This window comes from Homo sapiens, chromosome 14, assembly GCF_000001405.40.
Source record: "Homo sapiens chromosome 14, GRCh38.p14 Primary Assembly".
NCBI lineage: Eukaryota > Metazoa > Chordata > Mammalia > Primates > Hominidae > Homo > Homo sapiens.
In genome coordinates, this window is record NC_000014.9 from 89,299,360 (window position 1) to 89,325,369 (window position 26,010).

Consider the following 26,010-nt stretch of genomic DNA (forward strand, 5'->3'; position numbering starts at 1 on the left):
GAGGCCTCACCAGCCATGTAGAACTGTGAGTCCATTAAACCTCTTTCCTTTACAAATTATCCAGTCTTGGATGTCTTTATCAGCAGCATGAGAACAGACTAATTCAGCAGCCCTTCAATATCTTCTCTTTGGTGCACTCCTGAGGAGCTGAAACCTGGAGGCTTTGCTCTATCCCATGGAATCTCTCCATCTCAGCCTCACTGATCCCCAAATACGGAAGCCAAGTCCCTCAAGGAGCAGCTTGCCTCAGAGATGGAGATGATAGAAGGTGGCCCGGGGATACCTTCTACACCTCCCACTTTGGCCGTGCTGACCCCAGAGAGGGACCAGGTGGCCAAGTCTGGACTGGAGGGACTCTGAGACTGAGGAAGCCCAGCCACTCCCTCCTTCCTTTGGCAACAGTTTCACGGAGGTCTTGACAATGGTACAAATGGCACCAGTGCAACAGGTGGAACCAGCTGAGGACTAGACAATGTTAGTATGGCCAGGGTGCTTGATCCAAAGACAGTGGCAAAAGCTTATCTAAAATCCCCTCCATCAAGAGCAAACACATGGTGAGTAAAAATATCATTTCAACTTGAACTGAATCGCAAGGAAGCAAGAAGGCTGGCCACACTTGCATCTTCTGTCCCAGCACAGCAGCATCATTTTGAGGTGGTGACCAACAACTACACACTGCCCATTATATAATGTGAGTAACACAATTCCCTCATTACTCCATGAACTGATACAACATTCAGCAGAAGTACCTCAATAATAAAGGCAAAAGTCACTATGACCTATTTATCTTTCAGGATTTCAAGCGAGATCAAGAAATGTACTTTTTTTTTTTTTTTTTTTTGAGATGGAGCCTCGCTCTGTCATCCAGGCTGGAGTGCAATGGCATGATCTTGGCTCATTGCAACCTCTACCTCCCAGGTTCAAGTGATTCTCCTGCCTCAGCCTCCCAAGTAGTTGGGATTACAGGCACCCGCCATCATGCCCAGATAATTTTTCTATTTGTATAGAGACAGGGTTTCACTATGTTGGCCAGGTTGGTCTCGAACTCCTGACCTCAGGTGATCCACCTGCCTCGGCCTCCCAGAGTGATGGGTTTACAGGCGTGAGCCACTGTGCCCAGCCAAGAAATGTATATGTTTTAATCCAAGTTTTTGACAGTCTGGCTCCCGGTACTTCCTATGATGCTGAAAACCAGTCACAGACAAGAAAATAACCTATTTGTGGAGAAATTGTGATTTCCCTTGATTATTCATTTCCTCCCTTTGACAGCTAGTCCCATCCCATAGTCCACCACGAAGATGAGAGACATAAACACTGATTTTGGAAAGCTGATGACATAGAAGGGACACCTCGATCTAAATGCTGTATCAGGAAGACCTAATCTGGGCACTCAATTGCTACAGTTGTATGTAATAGTGCAGATGTTTGTTTGTTCATTTGTTTATTTATTTATTTGAGATGGAGTCTCGCTCTGTTGCTCAGGCTGGAGTGCAGTGGCACAATCTCGGCTCACTGCAACCTCCGCCTCCAAGGTTCAAGCGATTCTCTTGCCTCAGCCTTCCACGTAGCTGGGATTATAGGTGCCTGTCCCCATGCCCGGCTAATTTTTTTGCTTTTTTTTTTAGTAGAGACGGGGTTTCACCATGTTGGCCAGGCTGGTTTCAAACTCTTGACCTCAAGTGATCTGCCTGGCTTGGCCTCACAAAGTGCTAGGATTACAGGCATGAGCCACTGCACCCAGCCTCAGATGTTTATTTTTTATAAAACATTTTTCCTATGGTTTATTACATCTATTTATGGTTGGCTTCAAAGTGACAAAGTGATTTTAAATTTCCAAAATGTAAGACATGCCTATAATCCTACCATTTTGGGAGACTGAGGCAGGAAGACTGCTTGAGCCCAGGAGTTTGAGACCAGCTTGGGTAACATAGGGAGATCCCATCTCTACAAAAGAAAAAAAAAAAAAATTAGCCAGGTGTGGTGGCACGCACCTGCAGTCCCAGCTACTCAGGAGGCTGAAATGGGAGGATCACTTGAACCCAGGAACTTGTGGCTGCCATGAGCCATGATCATGCCACTGCGCTCCAGACTGCGTGACAGAGTGATACCCCATCTTAAAAAAAAATGTGGTGGGGCTCGGTGGCTCACGCCTGTAATCCCAGCACTTTGGGAGGCCGAGGCAGATGGATCACGAGGTCAGGAGTTCAAGACCAGACTGGCCATCATGGTGAAAGCCCGTCTCTACTAAATATACAAAAATTACCTGGGTGCAGTGGCAGGCTCCTGTAATCCCAGCTGCTTGGGAGGCTGAGGTAGGAGAACTGCTTGAACCCGGGAGGCAGAGGTTGCAGTGGGCCGAGATCATGCCACTGCACTCCAGCCTGGGCTACAGAGTGAGACTCTGTCTCAAAATAAAAAAAAAATTCCAAAAAGTAATCTCTTCTGTCTCCCAAGGCAACAAAGTACTGTGATGGGCATCAGCGCCTTAACCATGTCTTTGTCCTGATACTTCCAACTGAGCAGAAAGGCCCGGCCCGACCTCAAAGGTACCCTGTCTACTCACTCCTTTCCCGGTGACCTCTGGCCACCTCCCTCACCACCTGTACCAACCTTTTCCTTGCTTGTGACTCTCTGCTGTTCGCAAACTGTCCCACGTGTCCCTCTCTCAGTCCCTCCCCACATAGTGTAGCTCAGGAAAACCCAAAACGAAATGGTTGGGAAGGCCAAGTGCGTTGGTTTTCTTCCACCATCACATGGGCTGGAGCCGAAGAAACTGATTCTTACACACCTAGTACCTAATACCCATTCGATGCTTCGAGAAAAACTATAGAAACATCTATTCCTCTCCTGGAAGTGAACTGAGGCAAATAATGTTGCTGAACTTCCATGATAGCATTAAATTCGAAGAGAACATAGTTTCAAAAGAGTAATGTCACTTCTTGGCCATAGTTATGTAACTATGAGGGTGTGTCCATCAAGCTTTACAAAATGTGGTAGCACACCATGCCTTCTCAGCACCTTTCTTTCTGGGTGTAAACAGTTACGTATGATTGTGAGGGTTTTGCTTTGTTTTACTTTGTTTTGTTCTGTGCTTCCCTCTTCTTTGAATTCCTATGGCGAATAAAGAGGACCACACAATTGAAGCTTTAAACATAACCCGAAAAACCTTAGCCTCCTGAAACCTTTGGAGGAAACTGACTCACACACATGGGCTGTGCTTCTTGGTGCTGGGTCATTGGGCTCACCTTTGCAAGTCCCCTGAGCACACACAGGCCACACACCGCTGCCAAGGCTCGTGCCTTCCTCTTCAATGCTACCTGGCCTGAAAGCTCCTGAAGGATGTGACTTATCCTCCAAAGCCACTTGCAGAGCCCAGTACCAATCGGGTCTGAGAAGGTATGCTACTTCTCTCCCTTTCATCTGCCCTTCTCTGTCCACCTCCACCCTCTTCAAAGGCTGCCCACCTCCGCCCTCTTCAAAGGCATTGTTCAAAGGAGTCACAGGCCACCAAGTTTTAGTACTGTGCTACAGCTTAGCCTTTCCAGGGAGGACACTTTATGTGTAGGGCATTCTTTGCCTGCACTAAACTGCTACCACTTCATATACACAGATTCAGGGACTTTTGCTAGCAATGACTCCACTTTAATTTGTGTATAATCCAGTCAATCGTGTGCTCAAAATGACTCCTGGCTCCCTGTGACCTGTGCCACTTCCAGGTTCTTTAGCACTAAACAATTGGCTCCACTTGCTCCAGCTTCTCCTGCCACCCCTTGTCTTTTAGTTTTTTTCGCTCTGACAATACCAAGTTGCTCATGGTCCCTTGGAGACACCAGAGCGCCTTTGACCTCTGTCATTGCTACTCAGTTGCCCCTGCTTGGAATGTCCCTCACTCCCTTGTTTTCTTTGCAAACTTTTATGCTGTCTTGAAAATACTGCTCCTCCTGTCTTCTTCCTGCCTCCCTCCATGCTGAGAGCAGATCCTATCTGTCTTATGCTGTCTCCTTTCCATGAAACACAGGGTATTATAAGTTAGTTATTTATGGAGCTAGACTGTGAGCTCTCTGAAGACACTGACGATCTGATTCAGCTCATGTCCCCAGGAGCTGGCATGGAGTAGGTGTTCAATAAACATCTGCTAAAAAAAAAAAACAAAAAAAAAACTAGCCCTATAAAGTATATAGGGCTGGTATTATGATCCTCATTTTGCAGCTAAGAACACTTAATTCAGAAAGGAAAAGTCACTTAATGAGGGTCGCATGGCTAGTAAGTGACTCATGCTCTCTTCATTGCCATGATGCTTACATAACTACCTCCCGTTTCCTGCTGTCTCTTGAGTTTGGTGATCTACAGAAAAGAAAAGGAAAACTGAAGAAACAATACAAACACTTCAAAAGTTTAATGGATGTTTCTGAGCATCTATACATCGCCTTCTTCTCAGAACAGACATTGAGGACAGTCCTATAATTCACTATTATCAGTGTATCTACTTTAACTTGGAGCCCAGGCAACCAAGCACTAAATTAACACTGCCCTGTCTCTGCAAAGGTGATGGGGGACAAGACGCCTTGTAACTTTGAAGAAGAGATTTACACACCCCTGTGTCTCCCATATAAATGGACTCAAGAGCTGCAGCAGTCCATAAATGATCCTTTCTTTCCACTGTTGATAGTTGAAGGCAGCCGTTTCCAGCTTCTTGCCGGTGATCACTCTGCTAAAAATAGCTTTGATGCTGTCACATGCAAACTTGAACAGAACCTGAAAGCAGTTCCCCTTTTAGTTCTGAGCTGGTTCAACTTTAAAAGAGAGGCAGCTGTGAACACACTCCAGCGTGTTTACATGATGCTGAAGTAGTTCAGCTCGTAGTAAAAATACCACTGAAAAGGGACAGGCTTGGGTTTGCAGCCTCTGCTGACGACATTTCTTCCTGCTGAGCTGGAGCCCGGGAAGGGGCGGGAAGGGGCGGTAAGGTTAGCAGGGAAAATCCAAAATGTCCAGTTTGAAGGGGAAAGTGGCTGTGAGCAGAACCGCGGTGAAGACAGGAGAGAGATGTTTGTTGAGATGTGAGATTTCTGACTATGGTGGAGGTGGGGGCAGGAGAGGCGGCAAAGATCATATAGAAAAGAGAACTTAGACAACAGGGGGTGCTTTTTAAAAATTCTGTTAAAAATATCTAAGGGCTGTTTTTTTAGAAATCAAGGAAACAAAGGATGAAATACATTCAACATCTTGGCCATTCATTTGATACCTTATGTTGGTTTGCTGGGCAAATGGATGATTCTGGATGTGTTCTGAAAACTGGGCCCAAAACTAAGGATAAAGCAGAGTATGGGCTTGGAAACCAGAGAAAACCTGGGCATTCAACCCGGCTGCTCCTCGTCTGGCCCCCATAAAACTTGGCTTAAGCACTGGTGTCTCCCAGACCTTCTGCACAGAGCTGGGAGTTAAGTGAGAAAATACACACCGAAGTGCCTGGTGGAGCGGGGGACCCTGACCCATAATAGACAACGTCCTTTAAAAACATATACCCAGAGGAGAGGAAGCTGACAGTGATCTGCGGACAAATCTGGAATACAGTGTAGTTTCTTAAAAAAAAAAAAAAAAAAAGTACCAACCAAATAAATAGTGTTTTTTCTTCCTTCTTAATTCTATGTGGCCAAAGCATGACTCACACTATATTTGCTTATGAAATGAGAATTCATTTTACGAAGTTGTCCTAGAAAACTTACGCTGAGCCCGGCTGATCTGGAGGGGACGAGAGGAAGGCCTGGCCAGCACCAGGACGGATCACACAGGCCGGGTGCTGGTGTCTGTACCCACTGAGGGCCACTAGGAGATGGGAACTGAGGTCATCGATGGTGAACTCGCGGCTCCTGCTTAAGAACCAGAATCCTGACTTCAGACGTTTATGCTGGAGCTTCACATATGTTTCAGAACCCATCGTTCAACAAAAACCTCAGATTCATCTTAAGAGCCCTTGAGAAAAGGACGCCTCTATGACATCACTGTCCTACCCGATGAGTTTCAGTACCATGAGCAGATGACATGTGACCCAAGTACGAAGTGAGCAGGTTCTCTAAACAAGCTATAAATTTGAGCAGCACACTGAGGTTATATTAGCATAGGAATTTATCACGTAAGTTATATGTTTGAACAACAGAACAGACTTAACATACTGCTGTATCTTTAACTATCATTTTTTGTTAACAAGACAAAAGAATTTACAGTTTCTGCCAACTGTTTTGTTGGCCCCTAATACCACGATTAGCTGTTGCCAGGCAACCATGAAGCATGCTTCCTCCCAAATCAGGAAGACCCACTGCTAAATCTAGACTAATTATAAAAGGAGACAAATATTTAAAAGCCTTATATTTATGAAGGATTTGGGAGGTGCCCTGATAAGAATGATTCTTATTAAACGGATCTAACTAAATACAATGCATATGTCTGCAGTGCATTGTCACAGGTTTTGTAAAACAATTTAGGAAAACTGAATGTTTCTGCAACTTTCCTAATTTCCCTCAATAGGATACTAAACAAAACCAGGTGTTTATAATTTGTGGAAGCATGTCTTTTGCCTACTTCTCTAAGAATAAGGATGAAAAGAAGCAGCTGAGAGACCTAAGCCTTTTAAAATACATATATATTTGCAAAGAAATTATGAGAACACCACCACCATTTTCACAACCCTTACAGAGCTATGTGCATATAATGCTCAGCAGCTTTCCTCTCAAGTTTCTGCCTTTGTCTGCATTCTCAATTCCCTCTATTTCAAGAGTCATTTAGAATTCTCTGTGTGGAGAAGAGTTTTTCAGTCCCTGAGGCGAGCCTCCTTGCCATCAGCACTAAACTGCTGGTGGCAGGCTCCAACAACCGGAGTTCTAATGTCTAGAGACCCTGCTTCATCCCCAAGAGGGGAGCTGAAGAAACAGAAAAGCTCAACACACACACACACACTCACAGACACACAGACGCATGCACACACACACACACACACACTTTGGTTCTCTTTTTTTTTTTTGAGACGGAGAGACGGAGTCTTGCTCTGTTGCCCAGGCTGGAGTACAGTGGCACCATCTCGGTTCACTGCAAGCTCCGCCTCCTGGGTTCACGCTATTCTCCTGCCTCAGCCTCTGAGTAGCTGGGACTACAGGCGCCCACCACCACGCCCGGCTAATTTTTTTGTATTTTTAGTAGAGACGGGGTTTCACTGTGTTAGCCAGCATGGTCTCAATCTCCTGAACTCGTGATCCGCCCGCCTCAGCCTTCCAAAGTGCTGGGATTACAGGCGTGAGCCACCGCGCCCGGCCCATTTTGGTTCTCCTTCATATGCAAAGTGGAGTTTTCTCCCCAAAAGACAAAATTCTGACTACAAAGTCAGAACTAGGACGGGGGTTGGCAAATTATGAACCAAACTGTACTAGCTGGAAGCTAAGTATGGCTTTGACATTTGGTAATGGTCAGGGAAAAAAGAATCAAAAGAAGAATATTATTTCTTGACAAGTGAAAATTATATGAAATTCAAACTTCAATGCCATAAATAACATTTTATTGGGACACAACACACTCACTTGTTTATGTGTACGTCTATTTTGTGCTAAACAGTTACTACATGACCCTTCATAGAAAAAGTTTGCAGAAGCCTGAAGTGGAAGACAGAGTAGTGACATTTTAATCTTGAAAAAGAAATTGATTTTGGATTAACTTTAAACGCGACCAAAACAAAGCAAATAGGCCATGTCCCACCCAATGGCCTGAAACCTAGGTTGCTCTGAGTGTGTGTGTTACTCAGTGACTGTCCTACCAAAATTTCCAGAAAACAGTCCCTGTGGAACGCTAATCTAATTATTATTAAATGTAATAATCATTACTTGGAAGCTTTCTGATTTCACTAACCCAATCCTCTCTCCACCTCCACACACAAATTCAAAATGTTTTTCTTAAGATTGTTTCTCCTCTGTGTTACTAATGGAACAATCTGAGGCACTCATCAGACTGTCTATGTAAATCTACACCTTTTTTTAAGCTGAAATAATTCTGGTTATTAAAAACAAACATGGGTACTGTTTGTAGGTCTGAGAGGAATATGGAATCAATTATATATATGTGTGTAAATAAGGCCGCCCACCAGATAATGCTGGATGGCCGGTGAACTTTGCTAGAAAAGTGCTGATGCAGATGAAAATTTGGACAGGCTCTCGTGAAAGTCGGAAACACCAAAGGTCTCTTTGCTTTTGCTACCCTCTCTCCCTTCGGTTCTCCATTTACCGAGCCACAGTATTTCTTAAAGCTCGTTGGCAGCCTGCACCTCTGCTTATTCTTGGGAGACACGTGTTTGCATCCTATTACAACCCATAGTTTTTGCATAACCATGGTGAGAGGAACCATCCTTCCCAATCCCAACCTCAACCAAAGCTTAGAAAAAGTGCCATTCTTAACCTTTCAGAATCACTCATAAGTAAATCCTATAGCAGTCTCTGCTAATGCAAATTTCAATGTGTGCCCGATATAGGTAACTTTTGTACACTCTGCACCGACATAAAGAAAAGAACAAAGATCTTCAAGTTTTGTCAGTATTTGCATTTTTGGAAGAAGAGCATGAAAATAACATCAAAATGAAAAATTAGGCCGGGAGCAGTGGCTCACACCTGTAATCCCAGCACTTTGGGAGGCCGAGGTGGGCGGATCATCTGAGGTCAGGAGTTCAAGACCAGCCTGGGCAACATGGTGAAACCCTGTCTCTACCAAAAATACACAGTTTAGCCAGGCGTGGTGGCACCCGCCTATAATCCCAGCTACTCGGGAGGCTGAGGCACGAGAATCATTTGAACCTGGGAGGTGAGGCTTCAGTGAGCAGAGACTGTACCACTGCACTCCACCCTGGGTGCCAGAGTGAGACCCTGTTTCAAAACAAATGAACAAACAGACAAACAAAAAGAAGACAAATGAAAAAATTGTATATTTCTGTCCCTAATCCTGCAGGATGGAATTAGCTCTCCTAAAATGAGCTCGAATCTTCTGGAATTTGTTCGAGATGTCCCGCACCGTTCTGTGCAGATGCACGCACTTGCTGTGGCCACTATGGGTCTCCAGTCTACTCTGAAAATAATCCCACTGTCTTCAGGCTGTACCTGGGGAAAGGTGTCATTCTGTGAATGAAGATACCTGGTGAAGTTGCGGGTCTTTGGGAGCTCCTGGCCCACACTGTCCTTATAACGCCTGAACCCACATCCGTGGCCACATACTACGGGAAGAAGCAGAATCTGGCCCCAGAACTGGACACAAAACATAGGAGTTCAAGTAACCTATGGCCTAGTTGGCCTGGCTCAAAAAGAGAAGCTGAGTCATTCAGAGTCCCCAAGACTAGAATTAAATGAGTAGATTCTTTAAGGAGGAGGTAGAGAAAGGAGAAGCTGCTAGGAGGCCAGAAAGCAGCTGTGGCCTGAGCAGATGTAACACACTGTGAACAAATGGAAGGAGGCAGCGAAGGACAGGTAAGCACAGCAGGGGAGCCTGGTTCCTGCAGAGGCTAATGGAACCCAGGCAGAGGAGGACAGAGGAACAGGTATCTGAAGCCCCTGGGGACAGCTCTTGCAGCCTGAGGGGTCTCCTGTTCCAGGCACTAGTTCCCTTGAGGCCTGGCCGCACGGTGGTCTGGGGCCTGTGTATGGGATTTCCTTGATGACTATAAAACTGTCTCTTTGTTTGTTTTTTTATTTTTCCTTGTAGTAGTTTAAATGCTCTTTATATTCAGAAATCCAAACTACGATACACCAGGTTTGAGGGTCTCCCTTCAACATCACAGCTTACAGGCCATTCAATCTCTCCAGGGCCTCTCCTCCGTTAAGTGTGATGGCTGGACTTGGCGCACCCTGCAGCCACTTTGGATTAATATTCTAGGACCCCATTTCCAAGCCTCCAGGAGTTGCCACGTGCCACCACTTCTCTTTACCCATCGGAACACGAGATTGGGGTTAGGGGAGGTGTGTTCCAGGACTCACCCACAGTCACTCACTGGGCAGGCGCAGAGGGGCACCTGGAAACCAGGTCACCGCTGTTTCCATGACACGGGTGGCCTCTGGTATTAGAATTAAAAATTTATAAACAAGAAAATGGGGGAAGCAGATTTCACAGAAAAGTCTGTGCTTTAAGCAAAGAAAAAGGAATCTGAACACTTCGTTAACTGGGTATAACTAACCATTGGAGCAACAGCAAAACCAAGGCAGAGGCTGAGGGGGAGATGCACTTTAGCCCAGGGGGGTCTCTGGAGTCTGCTCTCTGCCCTCTGGGTGTGCGTTTTAACCCTTCCACAGCCAGCCAAGGCCCGGCCTCTACAGCAGATTCCCACAGGGGTGCGACGGAACCATTTTCTGGTTTAATGCTGAAATGGCAGGCTTGAGCCTCACCTCACTCAGTAAAAAGAATCTCACTTAGTAATGAAAACCCAATTAAGCTCTGCCAAGAGTGACCGATGGCGTTGGCTGCCTGGGGCTCTCAGTCTGCAGTCACAGACCTACCTGAAAGAGGAGTTTCCGCTGCCTTAAGTCACCAAGACTGGGCAAGCCCAGATCTCTAAAAACAGGTCTGTATCTAAGCCTGACAGTATGAACTCTTCTCTGTGTGAAAATAGAACGTCGCTAAGTGCCATCCTACCCATGCGGGGGTGGGGACAGTGACCAATGCTCCTGGCCAGCGAGCACCCATTCCCTCCAGCAACGGCTCTCTAAATTCCCCTGGGTGCCAGCACCCTAGTGCAGAGTGGGCATAATACCAGCCACAAGTCAAAAAATGTACACCATCCTCTGCTACAATGAATAGCTTAGGGAGGGGGATATGGCTTTAGGTCAATGGCAGTCAGGTCTGAATTTTGTGGGAGGAGATCTTCTCTTTTTTCACTGGACTTGAACCTGCAGGGACTCACAGGGGGTCGGGCAGCCATCCTGCCTCCACGAGGCGACAGAGTGCCTAAGAACCAAGCCAACACAGAGAAGAGATTCTGAAGGATGGAGAGAGCGGCTCGGCTGACCTGCAGCCAGGAAGTCACAGCTTCATGTCTTTGTCCAAAGTTAGACCTACTCCTGGACTTTCCAGTTGGATAAAGCTGCCCGATTTTCATTGGCACGAAAGCCACTTTGAGTCATCTTTCTCTCAGTCGCAAAGACAACTACTAATGAATCCACTGATAATGAATTCAAATGGAGACGAAGCTCAAGGTTACCTCTTCCACTGCCTTTAACAAAAGGGTCCATCATGCAAATGGAATTATTACAGACAAGGATGAAAAGAGAAACAGGGATTCTGCTTAAGAAAAGTACCTGCTAGCATTTGGGCACCATATATACCACACTAACTACTATAAAAGAGCCTTATTACCTAGTCTTATTTGGGGCTGGACGGCCTATCAGCATTCTACACTCGGCAACCCTTTAGTTAGCATCTAGTTGACATGAAAAATCCTTATATCTTTTGGCCAGGCACTGTGGCTCACACCTGTAATCCCAGCACTTTGGGAGGCCGAGGCAGGCAGATCACCTGAGGTCAGGAGTTTGAGACAAGCCTGACCAATATGGAGAAACCCCATCTCTACTAAAAATACAAAATTAGCCGGGCGTGGCAGAGCACACCTGTAATCTCAGCTACTCAGGAGGCTGAGGCAGAAGAATCACTTGAACCCGGGAGGCAGAGGTTGTGGTGAGCCAAGATCGCGCCATTGCATTCCAGCCTGGGCAACAATCGCGAAACTCCGTCTAAAAAAAAAAAAAAAACCTGACATCTTTTAAAAAAAATCTTATATCTTTTAAAAAAAAGATCTTTAAAAATACCTTGTATCTTTTAAAAAATAAGGTGTATCGGGCCGGTGCGGTGGCTCATACCTGTAATCCCAGCACTTTGGGAGGCCAGGTCAGGAGTTCGAGACCAGCCTGGCCAACATGGTGAAACCCTGTCTCTACTAAAAATACAAAAAATTAGTCAGGCATGGTGGCATGTGCATGTAATCCCAGCTACTCGGGAGGCTGAGGCAGGAGAATCACTTGAACTTGGGAGGCGGAGGTTGCAGTGAGCCAAGATCACGCCATTGCACTCCAGCCTGGGCGACAAGGCGAGACTCGGCCTCAAAAAAAAAAAAAAAAAAAAAAGGTGTATGGCAATCAAAAGGATGGGATACTAGCATAAAACTAGATACCTGTGGCCGGGTGCAGTGGCTCATGCCTGTAATCCCAGCACTTTGGGAGGCCAAGGTGGGCGGATCACAAGATCAGGAGGTCAAGACCATCCTGGCTAACCGGATGAAACCCCGTCTCTATTAAAAATACAAAAAATTAGCCGGGCATGGTGGCACTTGCCTGTAGTCCCAGCTACTCAGGAGGCTGAGACAGGAGAATCGCTTGAACCTGGGAGGCAGAGGTTGCAGTGAGTTGAGATCACGCCACTGCACTCCAGCCTGGGTGACAGAGCGAGACTCCGTCTCAAAAAACAAACAAACAAACAAACAAAAACAACTACACACCTACCTCTGTGAAATCTAGAAATAGAACAAAGCACTGGTGCAAAACGAGTGTACTATAAATGCAGCATTCAAATCCATGGGGGAGATTAGGACAATTCAAACCCGGATGCAAAGAACCATCAAAAATGAGTGAAGGCCAGCCGGGCACAGTGGCTCACACCTGTAATGCCAGCACTTGGGGAGGCCGAGGCAGGCGGATCATTTGAGGTCAGGAGTTTGAGACCAGCCTGGCCAACATGGTGAAACCCCATCTCTACTAAAAATACAAAAAGTAGCTGGGTGTGGTGGCGGGCACCTGTAATCCCAGCTACTCGGGAGGCTGAGGAATGAGAGTCACATGAACCTGTGAGACAGAGATTGCAGTGAGCCGAGATTGCACTACTGTACTCCAGCCTGGGTGACAGAGCAAGACTCGGTCTCAAAAAAAAAAAAAAAAAGAAGCCAAGGCCCTCGGACTAAAAACTGGGCCTTAAGAGAAGAATACAGCTGGCCAATCCACACGGGCAAGGGTGTCAGCCTCAGCAATTGTAAAAGTAAGGAAAATCAAGCCAAAAAAAAATCTCTATCAATTGGATTAGCAGATACTTAAAAAACTGACAAGACCCAGGGATGACAGGAGAACAGTCAAATATAATATCACAGGACATCTAAGTTGATATAACTTGGAGAAGGGGTAGGGAAAGAAACTGGGATAAATATGTCTATCTCCTTGGTCCATAAATTCAGCTTCTAGGAATTAAACTTTACATTCTACAGCCCACCAATAAAAGGACTCGGGCTTTAATACTGGACAGACCTGAGTGTGTCTTACAATCCCACCACACCTTGCTAGCTGGTAGACCCTGGGAAAGTTACTTGTAGAGTAGATATATACTACTAGCCCCTACAACATTGGACTGTTAGAACTGCATTTATGTACTTAGCATAGCACCAGGCCTAAAGACAGGACCACAGAGGTTATGAGCACTCGCAGTGATACCTCAACCCATATCCTCTGTGTTAGAGGCTGCCCCCACTACCGACTGCCCTGTAAGCTCACAACCACCACCTTCTACAGAAATCCTTTTCGCTGAAGGTCTCAAGAGGCCTGGGATTACAAGATAAATGACTGATAGTACAAAAGCCCTGTCGCTTTGTCCCAAAGAGGACAACTCTAGAACAGTCCCTCAGCAAATCACTCACAACCAAGTCCCTGTCTCAGATTCTGCTTCTAGAGAATCCAGCCTAAGACCCAACTGTTAGGATTTTTATTACCAGGCAAGGGTGCAAAGGTCTAAGTCTCTGCATGTTTACTGAGGCATAACATAAAGAAATGGAAAACAACCAAAATGTCCAGCCACAAACAGATGAATCCATACAAGGGGACATTGCACACATAGTAAAAAAAGAGTACTGTGTATCCATATGAACTGACAAGACTGCCGGGCGCAGCGGCTCACACCTGTAATCCCAGCACTTTGAGAGGCAGGGGATCACTTGAGGTTAGGAGTTCAAGACCAGCCTGGCCAACATGGTGAAACCCCTTCTCTCCTAAAATACGAAAATTAGCTGGGCGTGGTGGCGCATGCCCGTAATCCCAGCTATTCGGGAGGCTGAAGCAGGGGAATCGCTTGAACCTGGGAGGAGAAGGTTGCAGTGAGCCGAGATCATGGCACTGCATCCAGCCTGGGCAACAGAGCAAGATGCTGTCTTAAAAAAAAAAAAAAAGAATTGACAAGAGACGAAGTCCATGTATACTACTGTATGACGCAGCACATGCAGTATGAGCTCAGGCACAAGTAAAGTTTGTGTGGGTAAAGTCACATGTGAAAAGATATTCCAATACCAATGTCCACAGCAGCAGCAGTATTCACAGTAGCAACCCAAATGTCCCTCGATGGCGAATGGATAAACAAAATGTGGTATTATACATACATACAAGAGAGTATTACTCAGCCTTGAAAGGGGCAAAAGTACTGATACATGCTACAACATGGATGAATCTTGGGGACACTGCGCTAAGTGAAAGAAGCCAGTCACAAAAGGACAAACACTATATTATTCCATATATATGAGGTACCCAGAGTAGTCAAATTCGTAGAAACAGAAAGTAGAATGGTGGTTGCCCAGAGCTGGAGAGAGGGGGAAAGGGGGAGTTGGAGAGTATCAGTTTTGCAGAAAGTTCTAGAGATTGGTTGCACAACAGTGTGAATATACTTAACCCTACTGAACTATACTTAAAAGTGATTAAAAGTACATTTTACATTATGGGTATTTTACCACAATTAAGAATTAAAAAGAAAATTTTAAAAATTTTTCTTAAAATGTAACAACACAGAAGTAGGGATACTTTTATTCAGTTCTTTAAACTGTTTTATTGTTTGACCATTCTACATGAGTATATATTGACTTAATAATTAGAAAATACAATAAGCTATTTTAATTCTGGGAAAATACTAATACACTACAAAACGATAAATATTTTACTACACTAGGCTGGTAATCTAAGTCATTCAGGAGTGTGGGTCTTTGGCAGTGAGTGTTTACTTGTTTTTAATAGTGTATAAATTTAACTCTGGTCACTTGTTTTGTCAGCTTCATTTCTTATCTCAGCTCAACCAAAAGAACTTAAATGACATCATCAGTCATTGTTCTGTGACCATTAAAATGTCTAGGTTAATTCCAGAAAAACTGTCAACTAAAGATACTTTTAGAAAATTCCTCTTCCAGATTTTCTTGATTCATTCATTCAACAAAGACTTCTTAAGTGCTTAATAAGTGTCGTGCAACACACAAAGTCTTAGGGACACCATGGTGGCCAAGATGAGCTCAGTTTGTGGATCTCAAACTGGGAAAAGACAGACATGAGATGGACAGGGTGGTGTGGAGCTCTGCTTGTGTTTCCCTACTAGGCCACACGTGTATGCACAAACATACAGACACAGTCACTGAAGCCATCTTTCTCAATGATGTTGATGTTAGCTAACCGAGAACCTTCAAAAATCCCAACAGAGTAAGAGATTTTCAGTGACCAAGACAGTTGAATTTGCTTAATCTGAGACACTCTCATAAACTCAGCCTAAAAGAATGGAAATTTCTTTCTTGCTCAAATTTAATTACTCTTCACGGCTTGCAATAAAGGTCACCTCCCCAGTAATCATGTCTCAGAAAGCCTAGTCATCTCCTTGAATTATTTTCCTAAATGCACTTGATAGATGTTCTTTGATACCAGATCAGCCCCCTCCATATCACCTGGCTCAGACAAACAAAGAGAAGGGGGTGATAAATGTGTCTTTGATGCCCAGGGCCCAGCATCATTCTAGGGCACAAAGACCATCGATCCTTTTTATTCCTTCTCCTACTCATTCTAGACTCTAAATCCAAACACCTTTCTGATCTTAAAATCATTTCCTGAATTATTGTCTCTTGGTGCAGCATCACACAGCAATATCTTGATGAGATAGCACAAATAATTGCTAAATAAAATCTTTAACGTCGGCATAACCCTGAAAGGATATACAGTGAAAATAAGATCGTTACAACGAGGATGAAGCCAGGCGTCAATAGTCCATCAGCTCACCCTTCCACTTGCACAGGAGATCAAAGGCAAGGGCAGCAAACCCAACTAACGAATCTGGGTGTCCAGTCTCGTAGGCATGTCTTTGATTCTCCCCCTTCCCCGAACTCTCCTCCATGGCTTTGCTGTCCTCAGAATGTTGTCCACAGCACGGTTAGAGGAACAAAGAACAGGCAGACCCCAGAATTGCTGTCGAACAGAATGAATATGCAGCTCAGACTCAGGGCAGGCTGAGAAAACTGCAGGGAATTTTAGATGTCACTCTGCCGAAAGATCTGCGTGGGCTATATTGCATACCAGCTCTGAGTTCCTTTTCTAGCATTAACATCAGATTTGTGCTGATCCAGCCATATTCTCCTGGTGGCTCCTGTGGGACTGAGTGCCCATCAATCTGTGAGCCAGATGGCTTAAGCTTATGTGTAGCTGCTGGTCACAGAGGGAAGTGGGGCTAAAGGGGCCCATGCAGATGGTGAGTGGAGCTCTCTAACCACTGGCTGCATCTATCCCAGGCAACTCTCTAAAGAATGATGCTGCTTTCCCTTCTCCCAAGATCCTAGATAAACTCCTTGTTATAAACTACTGCAGCAATGGCCCATGACAATCATGCTTTCCTGTACCCACACCCTCCTGTGGTCCCCGCCAAAAGGAATCTGGCTTGGCCTCTTGACTTGCTACAGCCAATAGGACATTAGCAAATATGACACAAGGAGAAACTGTTGCGTATTGTGTATTGGGGCTTGCTTTCTCTTGTTGCTGGGAACCCTTCTGCCATCAAGTGAAAAAGCTTGGAATCGCTTCCTGAAGGATGTGAGACCCCACAGAGACAGGCCCCAGCTGTCCCAGACATCCCAGCTGAGGTCCAAATATACAAGGGAGCCCAGCTAACACCACAAGGAATAGAGATGAGCCATTCAAGCTGAGCCAACATACAGAACTGCTGAGCAAACAATGATTCTTCTTCTTCTTCTTTTTTGAGTCTCACTCTGTCACCAAGGCTAGATCATGGCTCACTGCAGCCTCGACCTCCCAGGCTCAAGCAATCCTCCTACCTCAGTCTCCTGAATAGTTAGGACTACAGACACGTGTCACCATGTCCAACTACTTTTTTTTTTTTTTTTAATATAGAGATGGAGTCTCATTATGTTGCCCAGACTGGTCTCGAACTCCTGGGCTCAAGTGATCCTCTCACCTCAGCCTCCCAAAGTGCTGGGATTACAGGCATGAGCCACTGCGCCCAGCCTATGATGAATTTTTTTTTTTTTTGAGATGGAGTCTTGCTCTGTCACCCAGGCTGGAGTGCAATGGTGCGATCTTGGCTCACTGCAACCTCCACCTCCCAGGTTCAAGTGATTCTCCTGCCTCAGCCTCCCGAGTAGCTAGATTACAGGGGCCTATCACCACGCCTGGCTACTTTTTGTATTTTTAGTAGAGACGGGGTTTCGCCATGTTGGCCAAGCTGGTTTTGAACTCCTGACCTCAGGTGATCTGCCAGCCTTGGCCTCCCAAAGTGCTGGGATTACAGGAGTGAGCCACCACACCCGGCCACCAATGATGATTCTTTTAAGCCATTAATTTGAGGTGTTTGATCAGCAGCAGGAGCTAACTCATATAACATTCTATGCAGTAGAACCTGCACCACAAAGCAGGATTTCAAGACTGCAATTGGCTTCAAGATGTAGTTTGACAGGTGACTTTAGTGGGTACCTAATGCAAAAAAACAAAAAATAAGTAAAACAGTAAAAGCAATTGACAATACTTTATAAAGCCTGGCCTCTGACAGTGAGTGAGGAAGCTCATAGGATGAAATCATCTGCACATGGCACAGCTGTTTTACATTCAACAGCAGCTCACTCAAGGTAACTCTTCCTACCAGCTCAGTGATGCCAGCTTCAGGAACAGCCACCCCACTTCCTGCGATGTTTTAGAAGGCAAGAGTTCTGGGTGTTAGTGCTGGAGCTGACAGGTAAATGTCCTCTGAGAGTTCCTTCTACCTCTGAGAGCCAGGAAGAAATCTAGACACCCTGGAGGGAATCACTCAGAAATCATTAGACAGTCATTGTACTTCTGAAAGTGCCTGTTTCCTGTTAAGCAGCTCAAAATGTCACCTGAGGGAAAGGCAAATTTCAGCAGGGGTAAAGTGTAGGGTCCCGCAGGAAGACTTCACTTATACGACTGTCTCTTAGAAGCACACCGGATCCTGACACTCCTCTTTCTCTGTGGGATCTGAAATGGTGACAAATAGGAGTTTGGCACCTTTGATTGCAACAATTGAACCTACCTCCTTTCCCCCCCCATAGAAATCCCTCCTTTCCCTGAACCTCTTATGGTACCAGTTCGGGGCCTGTTAGGAACCGGCTGCACAGCAGGAGGTGAGCGGCAGGCGAGCAGGCATTACTGCCTGACTTCGCCTCCCTCCTGTCCCATCAGCTGCAGCATTAGATTCTCATAGGAGTGCAAACCCTACTGTGAACTGCACATGTGAGGGATCTAGGATGCGCGCTCCTTATGGGAATCTAACTAATGCCTGATCCAAGGTGGAACAGTTTCATCCCAAAACTATGTCCCCTACCACTGAAAAACTGTCTTCCATGAAACCACTCCCTGGTGCCAAAAAGGTTGGGGACTGCTATATTAGGGCATCTTATATCCCCCAACTAGCCAGTAAGTTTCTTTAGAGTAGTAACTATGTTTTAATCTTCCCTCCTTCCCTCCCTTTTTCTTTTCTTTCTTCTTCTTCTTCTCTTTTTTTTTTTTTGAGGCGGAGTTTCACTCATGTTGCCCAGGCTGGAGTGCAATGGCGTGATCTCAGCTCACTGCAACCTCCACCTGCCAGATTCAAGTGATTCTCTTGCTTCAGCCACCCAAGTAGCTGGGATTACAGGTGCCCACCACCATGCCCAGCTAATTTTTGTATTTTTAGTAGAGATGGAGTTTCACCATGTTGACCAGGCTGGTCTCAAACTCCCGACCTCAGGTGATCCACCCATCTCAGCCTCCCACAGTACTGGGATTACAGGTGTGAGCCAACACACCCGGCCCCTTTTTCTTTCTCTCATTCATTGATTCAGCAATTGGTTATTAAAAAGCTACAGCCAGGCACAATACAGGAAGCAGCTCACAGCCCAGAGGGGAGAATGCCAAGAAATAATTATAAAACATAATCTTGGCTAACCGTTATCAAGCACCTTTTATGTGTCAGGCTGTGTTCTAAGGATTTTAAATGTTCACTCATTTAATCCTTGCATCAACCCTATGAGAAAGGCAGTGTTTTTATCCTCAGATACAGACAAGGACACTAATGCACAGACAGGTGATATAGCCTGGTTGTGCGCAGCAGTGACTGGTGGAGCTGACCACTCAAATCCGGGTTCTCCCTGCCTTCCTGCACCGTGGCCAGATGAAGCCGCCGACCCGATGCATCTGTATTCTATTTCATGGGCAATGTCAACTCAACCTAGGTTTTGGACTAAACAATGGTTACATCAAAGACGGGCTGGAATGGAGAACGGAGGCAGAAACACCAGACAGAGAAGCTATTGCAGGGAGTGTGAAGATGAGGTGCTGAGGGCCCAGACTGGGCCAACAGGAAAGGCCACCAGGGGCCTGGGCCCAAGAGGACACTTCTGAGACAAAATCAATAGGATGTTGGTACCTGAGTCAAGGGAAGAATCAAAGACAATTCTGAGTTGCTGACTTTGGATACTGGGTTGTACTGGGGTGAAGAGAAAGACCTGAGGAGGCAGGAAAATTCAAGAGGCAGAACAGCTTTGGAAGGTATGTGAGGGGTCACCAAGACCACCCCCAGTGAGTCACTAGGAGGACTCACAGGACACAGCGTACAGTCATGCTCATGGCTATGATTTATTTCAGCAAAAGGATATGAAGCACAAATAGCAGAGGGAAAAGGTGCATGGGGGTGAAGTCCAGAGGAACCCAGATGCAAGCCCCCACCCAGGAAAGTCACACAGAATGCACTTGCTTCCCCAGCTACACATCCTGCCAGCACACATGAAGTGCTGTTTGCAAGGGAAGAGCCTCAGAGCCTCAGTGCCCAAGATTTTTACTGGGGACTCTTCAGGTAGACACCCTATGCCTAGAGCACACCAAAATGTCAGACTTCTTCCACCAACCACAGTGTTTCCACAAACGATGCAGGCACCAGGAGCCCCACTTCTAGGTCTGGGAGTGCTGAGAACCCTCCTGAAATCCAAATTTGCAGACACCAACCAAGGGCTAACCTTGCAAGCAGAACTTTCTAAGGAGAGAACCCTCAGACTTGCTATGTTCAATCTTCTGCACTGGAGGAAATGATGTAGCTCCATTTTATACATGGGATGTCTTACACGCAACATCCAAGTGCTCAGATTTTATACAAGATAGTAATCCTTGAGTAATGTTCAGATGATTAAACTTGAGTCAATACTTTTCTCATATTTGAATATAACATCAAAAATAAACAACATATTACAAATCACCAACCAGGGCTAATAGGTCTCGAGGTTGCTGGTACTTCCCTTGCCATCCAGTAAGAGCGGAAGCTCAAGGATGACGCTTTGCATTTCATTACTAAGACAGGTAAACATCAGATCTGCTGCAGAATCAAACACAATTAAAACTTTAATTAACTGAAACCTAACTAGCCCCCAACTTCAAATAAAAAACATTTGCGGGCAGCCGGGAAGGGGAAGATAGAGGTTACAGTACTTCATTTTTAAGAAAAAGGGGAAAGTCAGAGGCTCATATATGGAATTTATTCAAAATCATCATCTCTTGCAGCCTCCCAAGGGTGGGCACGTATTTTACATCAACATAATTACACAGTGAACACTGAAGGGCAAAATTCAGTGTCCTCCAACACATCAAGTATTCATTCAGCGTATTCTATCTATTGGCAGAAAACAGACCCATTGATTTGGAATGTATTTTTAATAATAGAAGTTCAAACAAAAGGTTTGTAACCAGGGTACCCCTGTTTCCCAAACTTTGTGTTAACTCAGGATTCCATGGTATGAAAATCTCTCAAATATTTTCCGCAGAATCACCCACACACTGGTCCCTTGCTAGAGGCTAAATAAACCTGATATCCTTTAAGTTTTCACATAACCTGGTATCCTCTTGCATACCTCGGTGAGATAGCTAATCCCCAACCATCTTGCAAGAATCAGACTCAAGTATTATCAGCAGTGAGACAAACCCCTCATGGGTCTCCTCATCACACTCAGGGGAATGAGAAGTCCTGCTCTGATAAAGACAAAAAGCCACTTCACATCAATACAAACTTCAGATAAAGCAGGAAGGCTGATAGCATGAGGAAGGAGAAGCTAACTGAGATTTAGGGTTCAGAGGCACCTGGGCTAAATGCCAAACAAAATATACCTCCCAGGAAGCATCAAAAGTGAAAAAAGCCTTAAAGTATTAAGAGAACTGTTATGCTGGCTATAAAACCCAACACAAACGGCAGACAGCATGGCTGCGCGATTCTCACCCAGCTGACTCTGAGGAGTTTTTATGAACTGTTTATATGCGGGGAGTTGGGGTCAAGGGGAAAGGAACCTTCTTCTTGGGGTTTGAAATTTTAAAAAATTGGCCAGGCATGGTGGCTCAAGCCTGTAATCCCAGCACTTTGGGAGGCCGAGGTGGGCAGATCACTTGAGGCCAGTAGTTCAATACCAACCTGGGCAATATGGCGAAAACCCCTCTCTACTAAAAAACACAAGAAAATTAGCTGGGCATGGTGGTGTGCACCTGTAATCCCACCTACTCGGGAGGCTGAGACACAAGAATCGCTTGAACCTGGGAGGTGGAGGTTGCAGTGAGCAGAGATTGCGTTACTGCCCTCCAGCCTGGGCAAATCTGTCTCAAAAAATATATTAAAAAATAAAAAAAAATTAAGGGCTGGGTAATCCCAGCACTTTGGGAGGCTGAGACGGGTGGATCACGAGGTTGGGAGATGGAGACCATCCTGGCTAAAATGGTGAAAACCCGTCTCTATTAAAAATACAAAAACTAGCCAGGAGCGATGGTAGGCGCTTGTAATCCCAGCTACTTCGGGAGGCTGAGGCAGGACAATTGCTTGAACCTGGGCGGCAGAGTTTGCAGTGAGCCGAGATTGAGCCACTGCACTCCAGCATGGGTGACAGAGTGAGATTCTGTCTCAAAAAAATAAAATAAAATAAAAATTAAGAAGTTGTATTCTGATCACACTTCCCATTCACTTTCTAGACTTTGGCTTGAAGACACACTGGCCAAAGACGTTCTTTCAAAAGAGGTTGTCTTTGTATTCTCTTAATAGATCTTGCATTCAATTTTGTTTGTTTAGAGTACTTGACAACTGAGTTTCTTTTTCTTTCCATTCCTGTCTTTCTTCTTTCCTTTTTTTTTTTTAAATAAAAAAACAAACAAGAAGCCCAACAAACACAACTACAGATCAACTTATTTTTAAGTATCTGAAGAGGCCCACGGCAATGATCTACCACTCCAGACCCTCAACTGGATTGTCTCACTGCCTTAAAGAAAACCGGTAAATTATTTCCTGAACAAAAGCAAGAATCTTTTAGGTCCTATAATCTCATTTCAAATCCTTTTACCCACTCCCTACTCCACTGGCCCTGATACTGCAACCCTCTTTGGGTAATCTGAGGTCCGTGGGTGCCAGGGCCACAGTTGCCTTAAAGTTCCTCCCGGCTTGCTGCCGTTGCTCACTGCTGGGAGGGGCAGCATGCCAGGGTTCGGGACCCCATAATGGCTCTGCTCTTACAGGGCAACTGTTAATAATTAGCAGGAAGCATTTTCCCTTTAAATCTCACAGCTTGAACAGTAAGATCTCGTAGTGCCAAAGAAACATTTAATTCCAGAGAAGTGAGACTTGCTTCCAACATATTTTGTGTGGTTCTACCCATACAATTAAATGGCTTCATTCATCTATCAGTAGATGGTTATGAAGCCAGGTGCTAAGGTAAAGTTGGGGGCATGAAGGGGAACAAGAGAGGATACGGGCTCCTGCCCTCACACAACTTGGAGTCTACTGAGAAGAGATGCCTTTAAAGTGTAAATGCCAGGACAGACAATATGCTTGGGCCACACAAGGACATAGTGTTCTTGTCTGGAGGGGGCTGCAGAGGGAAGAACAGAGAAAAGAGGGAGCAACATGGTGGCATAGTCAAAAAATGAAGGACATTCAGTAAGGCTGAGAAGGGGACCGGTGGGGCAGTCAAGAGTCATATGAGGTGCTTCTCTGCAAGGAACTGTCAGGGCAAACAGATGTTTCGGAGGAATCACCATGCTGAATACTCGCTGAGTACTAGCCAGGTACAGCAGAGGCACACCAGGAAGAGGCAAGAAGGAGGCCAAGTGGGAGTCAATGGCAGCTATCCAGTTAGAAGGTCATCCATCCATCCATCCATTCAAAACTACCAGCCTCGTGCTACTATGGGCTGGGGACTGTTCCAAAGCCTAAGGATACAGCAGAGAGCAAAAGAAAGTCCCCGCTCTCAAGGAATTTACATAAAACAAATACATAATGTGCAAGTGGTAATAAAAGCTAAGGAGAAAACTTAAAGGCAATGGCAATAAAGAATGACAGTGGGAGCCGGGCGCAGTGGCTCATGCCTGTAATCCCAGCACTTTGGGAGGCCAAGTTGGGCAGATCACAAGGTCAGGAGATCAAGACCATCCTGGCTAACACCATGACACTCCATCTCTACTAAAAATACAAAAAATTAGCCAGGCGTGGTGGCAGGCAACTGCAGTCCCAGCTACTCGGGAGGCTGAGGTAGGAGAATCGTTTGAACCCAGGAGGCAGAGGTTGCAGTGAGCTAAGATCACGCCACTGTACTCCAGCATGGGCGACAGAGCGAGACTCCATCTCAAAAAAAAAAAAAAAAAGAAAGAAAGAAAGAAAGAAAGAATGACAGTGGGGCACGAGTATTTTGAAGGGGTGGTTAGGGTAGGTGTCTTTGAGAAGGTGACACCTGAGCAAAGACCCAAAGAAGGAGAGGTCCCAAAGAAGAAGAGGACCCGGCTGGGCACAGTGGTTCACGCCTGTAATCCCAGCACTTTGGGAGGCCAAGGTGGGTGGATCACGAGGTCAGGAGTTTGAGACCAGCCTGACCAACATGGTGAAACCCCGTCTCTACTAAAAATACAAAAATTAGCTGGGCGTGGTGGCACACGCCTGTAATCCCAGCTACTCAGGAGGCTGAGGCAGGAGAATTGCTTGAACCCAGGAGGCAGAGGTTGCAGTGAGCCAAGATCACGCCACTGCACTCCAGCCTGGGCAACAGAATGAGACTCCATCGCAAAACAAACAAACAAACAAACAAAAAACGGAGAGGACCCATGGCAGTGACAACATCGATCTAAAGGAGCAGGCACAGTGGGTAGCAGAGGGGGCCAGTTCCTGACAGAGAGCAAAGGCAATTGGGGGTGGTGGTGAAGTGTAGATACTGGAACCATGCTGCTGGGTCCAAGTTTTGGCTCTGTCATTTACTAGCACTGTAACCTTGGATGTGTTTTAGAGACTCATTAGAGGCAGGGACCTCTAGCGTGGTGCCTTTGTGCTTCAGTTTCCTTGTGGTGCCCTGGGCAACTCCTCAGATACAGCTTAAGTTGCAACCTGCAACAGACATCATATAGACAACATCTAAGCCACCACCATGTGATGTCTGTGAGCCATTCAAGAATGAAAAGTATCCACCAAAATAATTAAACATATAGTCCAATTCCCAGCTTTGCCGAATATCAGTAATAGCCAAGCAACACGCCCATTAGCTAAAGTGATTTCTCCAATGGGCATCAAAGAAATCTGCAAAGTTTTCTGTAACTATTGTTTTTGATGGGTTAAATTAGCACCATTACGGAATAGAAATTATTAATACATTCAGGGAGGTGGGGGGACATTTTCACTTAAAGAGAAAATGCTACTTAGGCTTTTGAAATATTGATCACTAGCCAGAGTGCTGGGAAGCATTAAGAGAACCACAGCCTAAACATACTGATTTGGTTTGAAACAGCTAAGTGTGTGCGTGTGTGTGTGTGTGTGTGTGTGTGTGTGTGTGTGTGTGTGTATGTACCCACATCTTTACTAGCAGGGAAAACAAAGCGGCAGTAGGATACATGAGAAAATAACAGCAGAGCTACCCTTTGGGGAGAGAATATAGGAATACAGAGATTAAGGAGGTTTATGAGGAGGAATACACAAAACAGCGTTTCATCCTAAGATGACAGCTACAGAACTTTTTTCTTTGATCTCTTAACCACAGGGACCCACACACATGGGTCCCCTGAAAACCACAGCAGGTTGTGAGAACAGCTGAGAAGGCAAAGAAGACAGCAAGAACCTTCCATCCTTGACCAGCACAACTGCCTGGAAGTCTCTGGAAAGACACTGAGAGGTTTCAAGGCTGGCCCAGTGTTTCTTAAACCACCTGGAGATTGTATTAAAAAGCAGGTTCAGATCCAGCAGGTCTGGGGTGACGTCTGAGATTCTGCATTTCTCCCAGGCTCCCAGGAAACGCACACGTTGCACATCCTTAGGCCATAGCAAGGCTCTAGGGTGGCGCTGTCCAACATGGTAGCCTCTTGCCACATGGGATTAGTTACATGAAGACTAAAGGAAACTAAAAATGCAATTCCATGGGCACACTGGGTGCATCTCAGGTGCTCAACAAGCCACATGTGGCTAGTGACTACACAGCGGACAGCATAGACACAGAGTACTTCCACCACTGCAGAAAGTTCTGCTGAGCTATGCTATTCTTCGGGCTCCTGCTCCCATGCCCATGCCAACACACATGCACCACCACCACCACCATCACTACCACCACCACGACCACCACCACCACCACCATCACCAACACCAACACCAACACCACCAACACCAACACCACCACCACGACCACCACCACCACCACCACCACCACCACCACCACCACCACCACCACTACCACCA

General features: G+C 45.6%; 1 protein-coding gene across 2 annotated transcripts in view, besides 8 other annotated features; it reads right to left on the minus strand.

Moving 5' to 3' along the window:
- Positions 1-26,010, minus strand: part of FOXN3 (forkhead box N3) — a 462,989-nt gene that overhangs the window by 143,183 nt on the left and 293,796 nt on the right. The window lies entirely within an intron of this gene.
- Positions 4,357-4,426: an enhancer, noted in NCBI's record as "active region_8850". NCBI's record gives its function as "activates an Ori minimal core promoter by ATAC-STARR-seq in GM12878 lymphoblastoid cells {active_cell/tissue: GM12878}" and the evidence as "EXISTENCE:reporter gene assay evidence [ECO:0000049][PMID:35858748]".
- Positions 4,457-4,516: an enhancer, noted in NCBI's record as "active region_8851". NCBI's record gives its function as "activates an Ori minimal core promoter by ATAC-STARR-seq in GM12878 lymphoblastoid cells {active_cell/tissue: GM12878}" and the evidence as "EXISTENCE:reporter gene assay evidence [ECO:0000049][PMID:35858748]".
- Positions 4,617-4,816: an enhancer, noted in NCBI's record as "active region_8852". NCBI's record gives its function as "activates an Ori minimal core promoter by ATAC-STARR-seq in GM12878 lymphoblastoid cells {active_cell/tissue: GM12878}" and the evidence as "EXISTENCE:reporter gene assay evidence [ECO:0000049][PMID:35858748]".
- Positions 5,730-5,999: an enhancer, noted in NCBI's record as "active region_8853". NCBI's record gives its function as "activates an Ori minimal core promoter by ATAC-STARR-seq in GM12878 lymphoblastoid cells {active_cell/tissue: GM12878}" and the evidence as "EXISTENCE:reporter gene assay evidence [ECO:0000049][PMID:35858748]".
- Positions 9,092-9,471: an enhancer, noted in NCBI's record as "active region_8854". NCBI's record gives its function as "activates an Ori minimal core promoter by ATAC-STARR-seq in GM12878 lymphoblastoid cells {active_cell/tissue: GM12878}" and the evidence as "EXISTENCE:reporter gene assay evidence [ECO:0000049][PMID:35858748]".
- Positions 9,533-10,033: an enhancer, noted in NCBI's record as "H3K4me1 hESC enhancer chr14:89775236-89775736 (GRCh37/hg19 assembly coordinates)". NCBI's record gives its function as "activates a minimal SCP1, AML or CMV promoter by ChIP-STARR-seq in primed H9 embryonic stem cells {active_cell/tissue: H9 hESC(primed)}" and the evidence as "EXISTENCE:reporter gene assay evidence [ECO:0000049][PMID:30033119]".
- Positions 9,602-9,651: an enhancer, noted in NCBI's record as "active region_8855". NCBI's record gives its function as "activates an Ori minimal core promoter by ATAC-STARR-seq in GM12878 lymphoblastoid cells {active_cell/tissue: GM12878}" and the evidence as "EXISTENCE:reporter gene assay evidence [ECO:0000049][PMID:35858748]".
- Positions 10,034-10,534: an enhancer, noted in NCBI's record as "H3K4me1 hESC enhancer chr14:89775737-89776237 (GRCh37/hg19 assembly coordinates)". NCBI's record gives its function as "activates a minimal SCP1, AML or CMV promoter by ChIP-STARR-seq in primed H9 embryonic stem cells {active_cell/tissue: H9 hESC(primed)}" and the evidence as "EXISTENCE:reporter gene assay evidence [ECO:0000049][PMID:30033119]".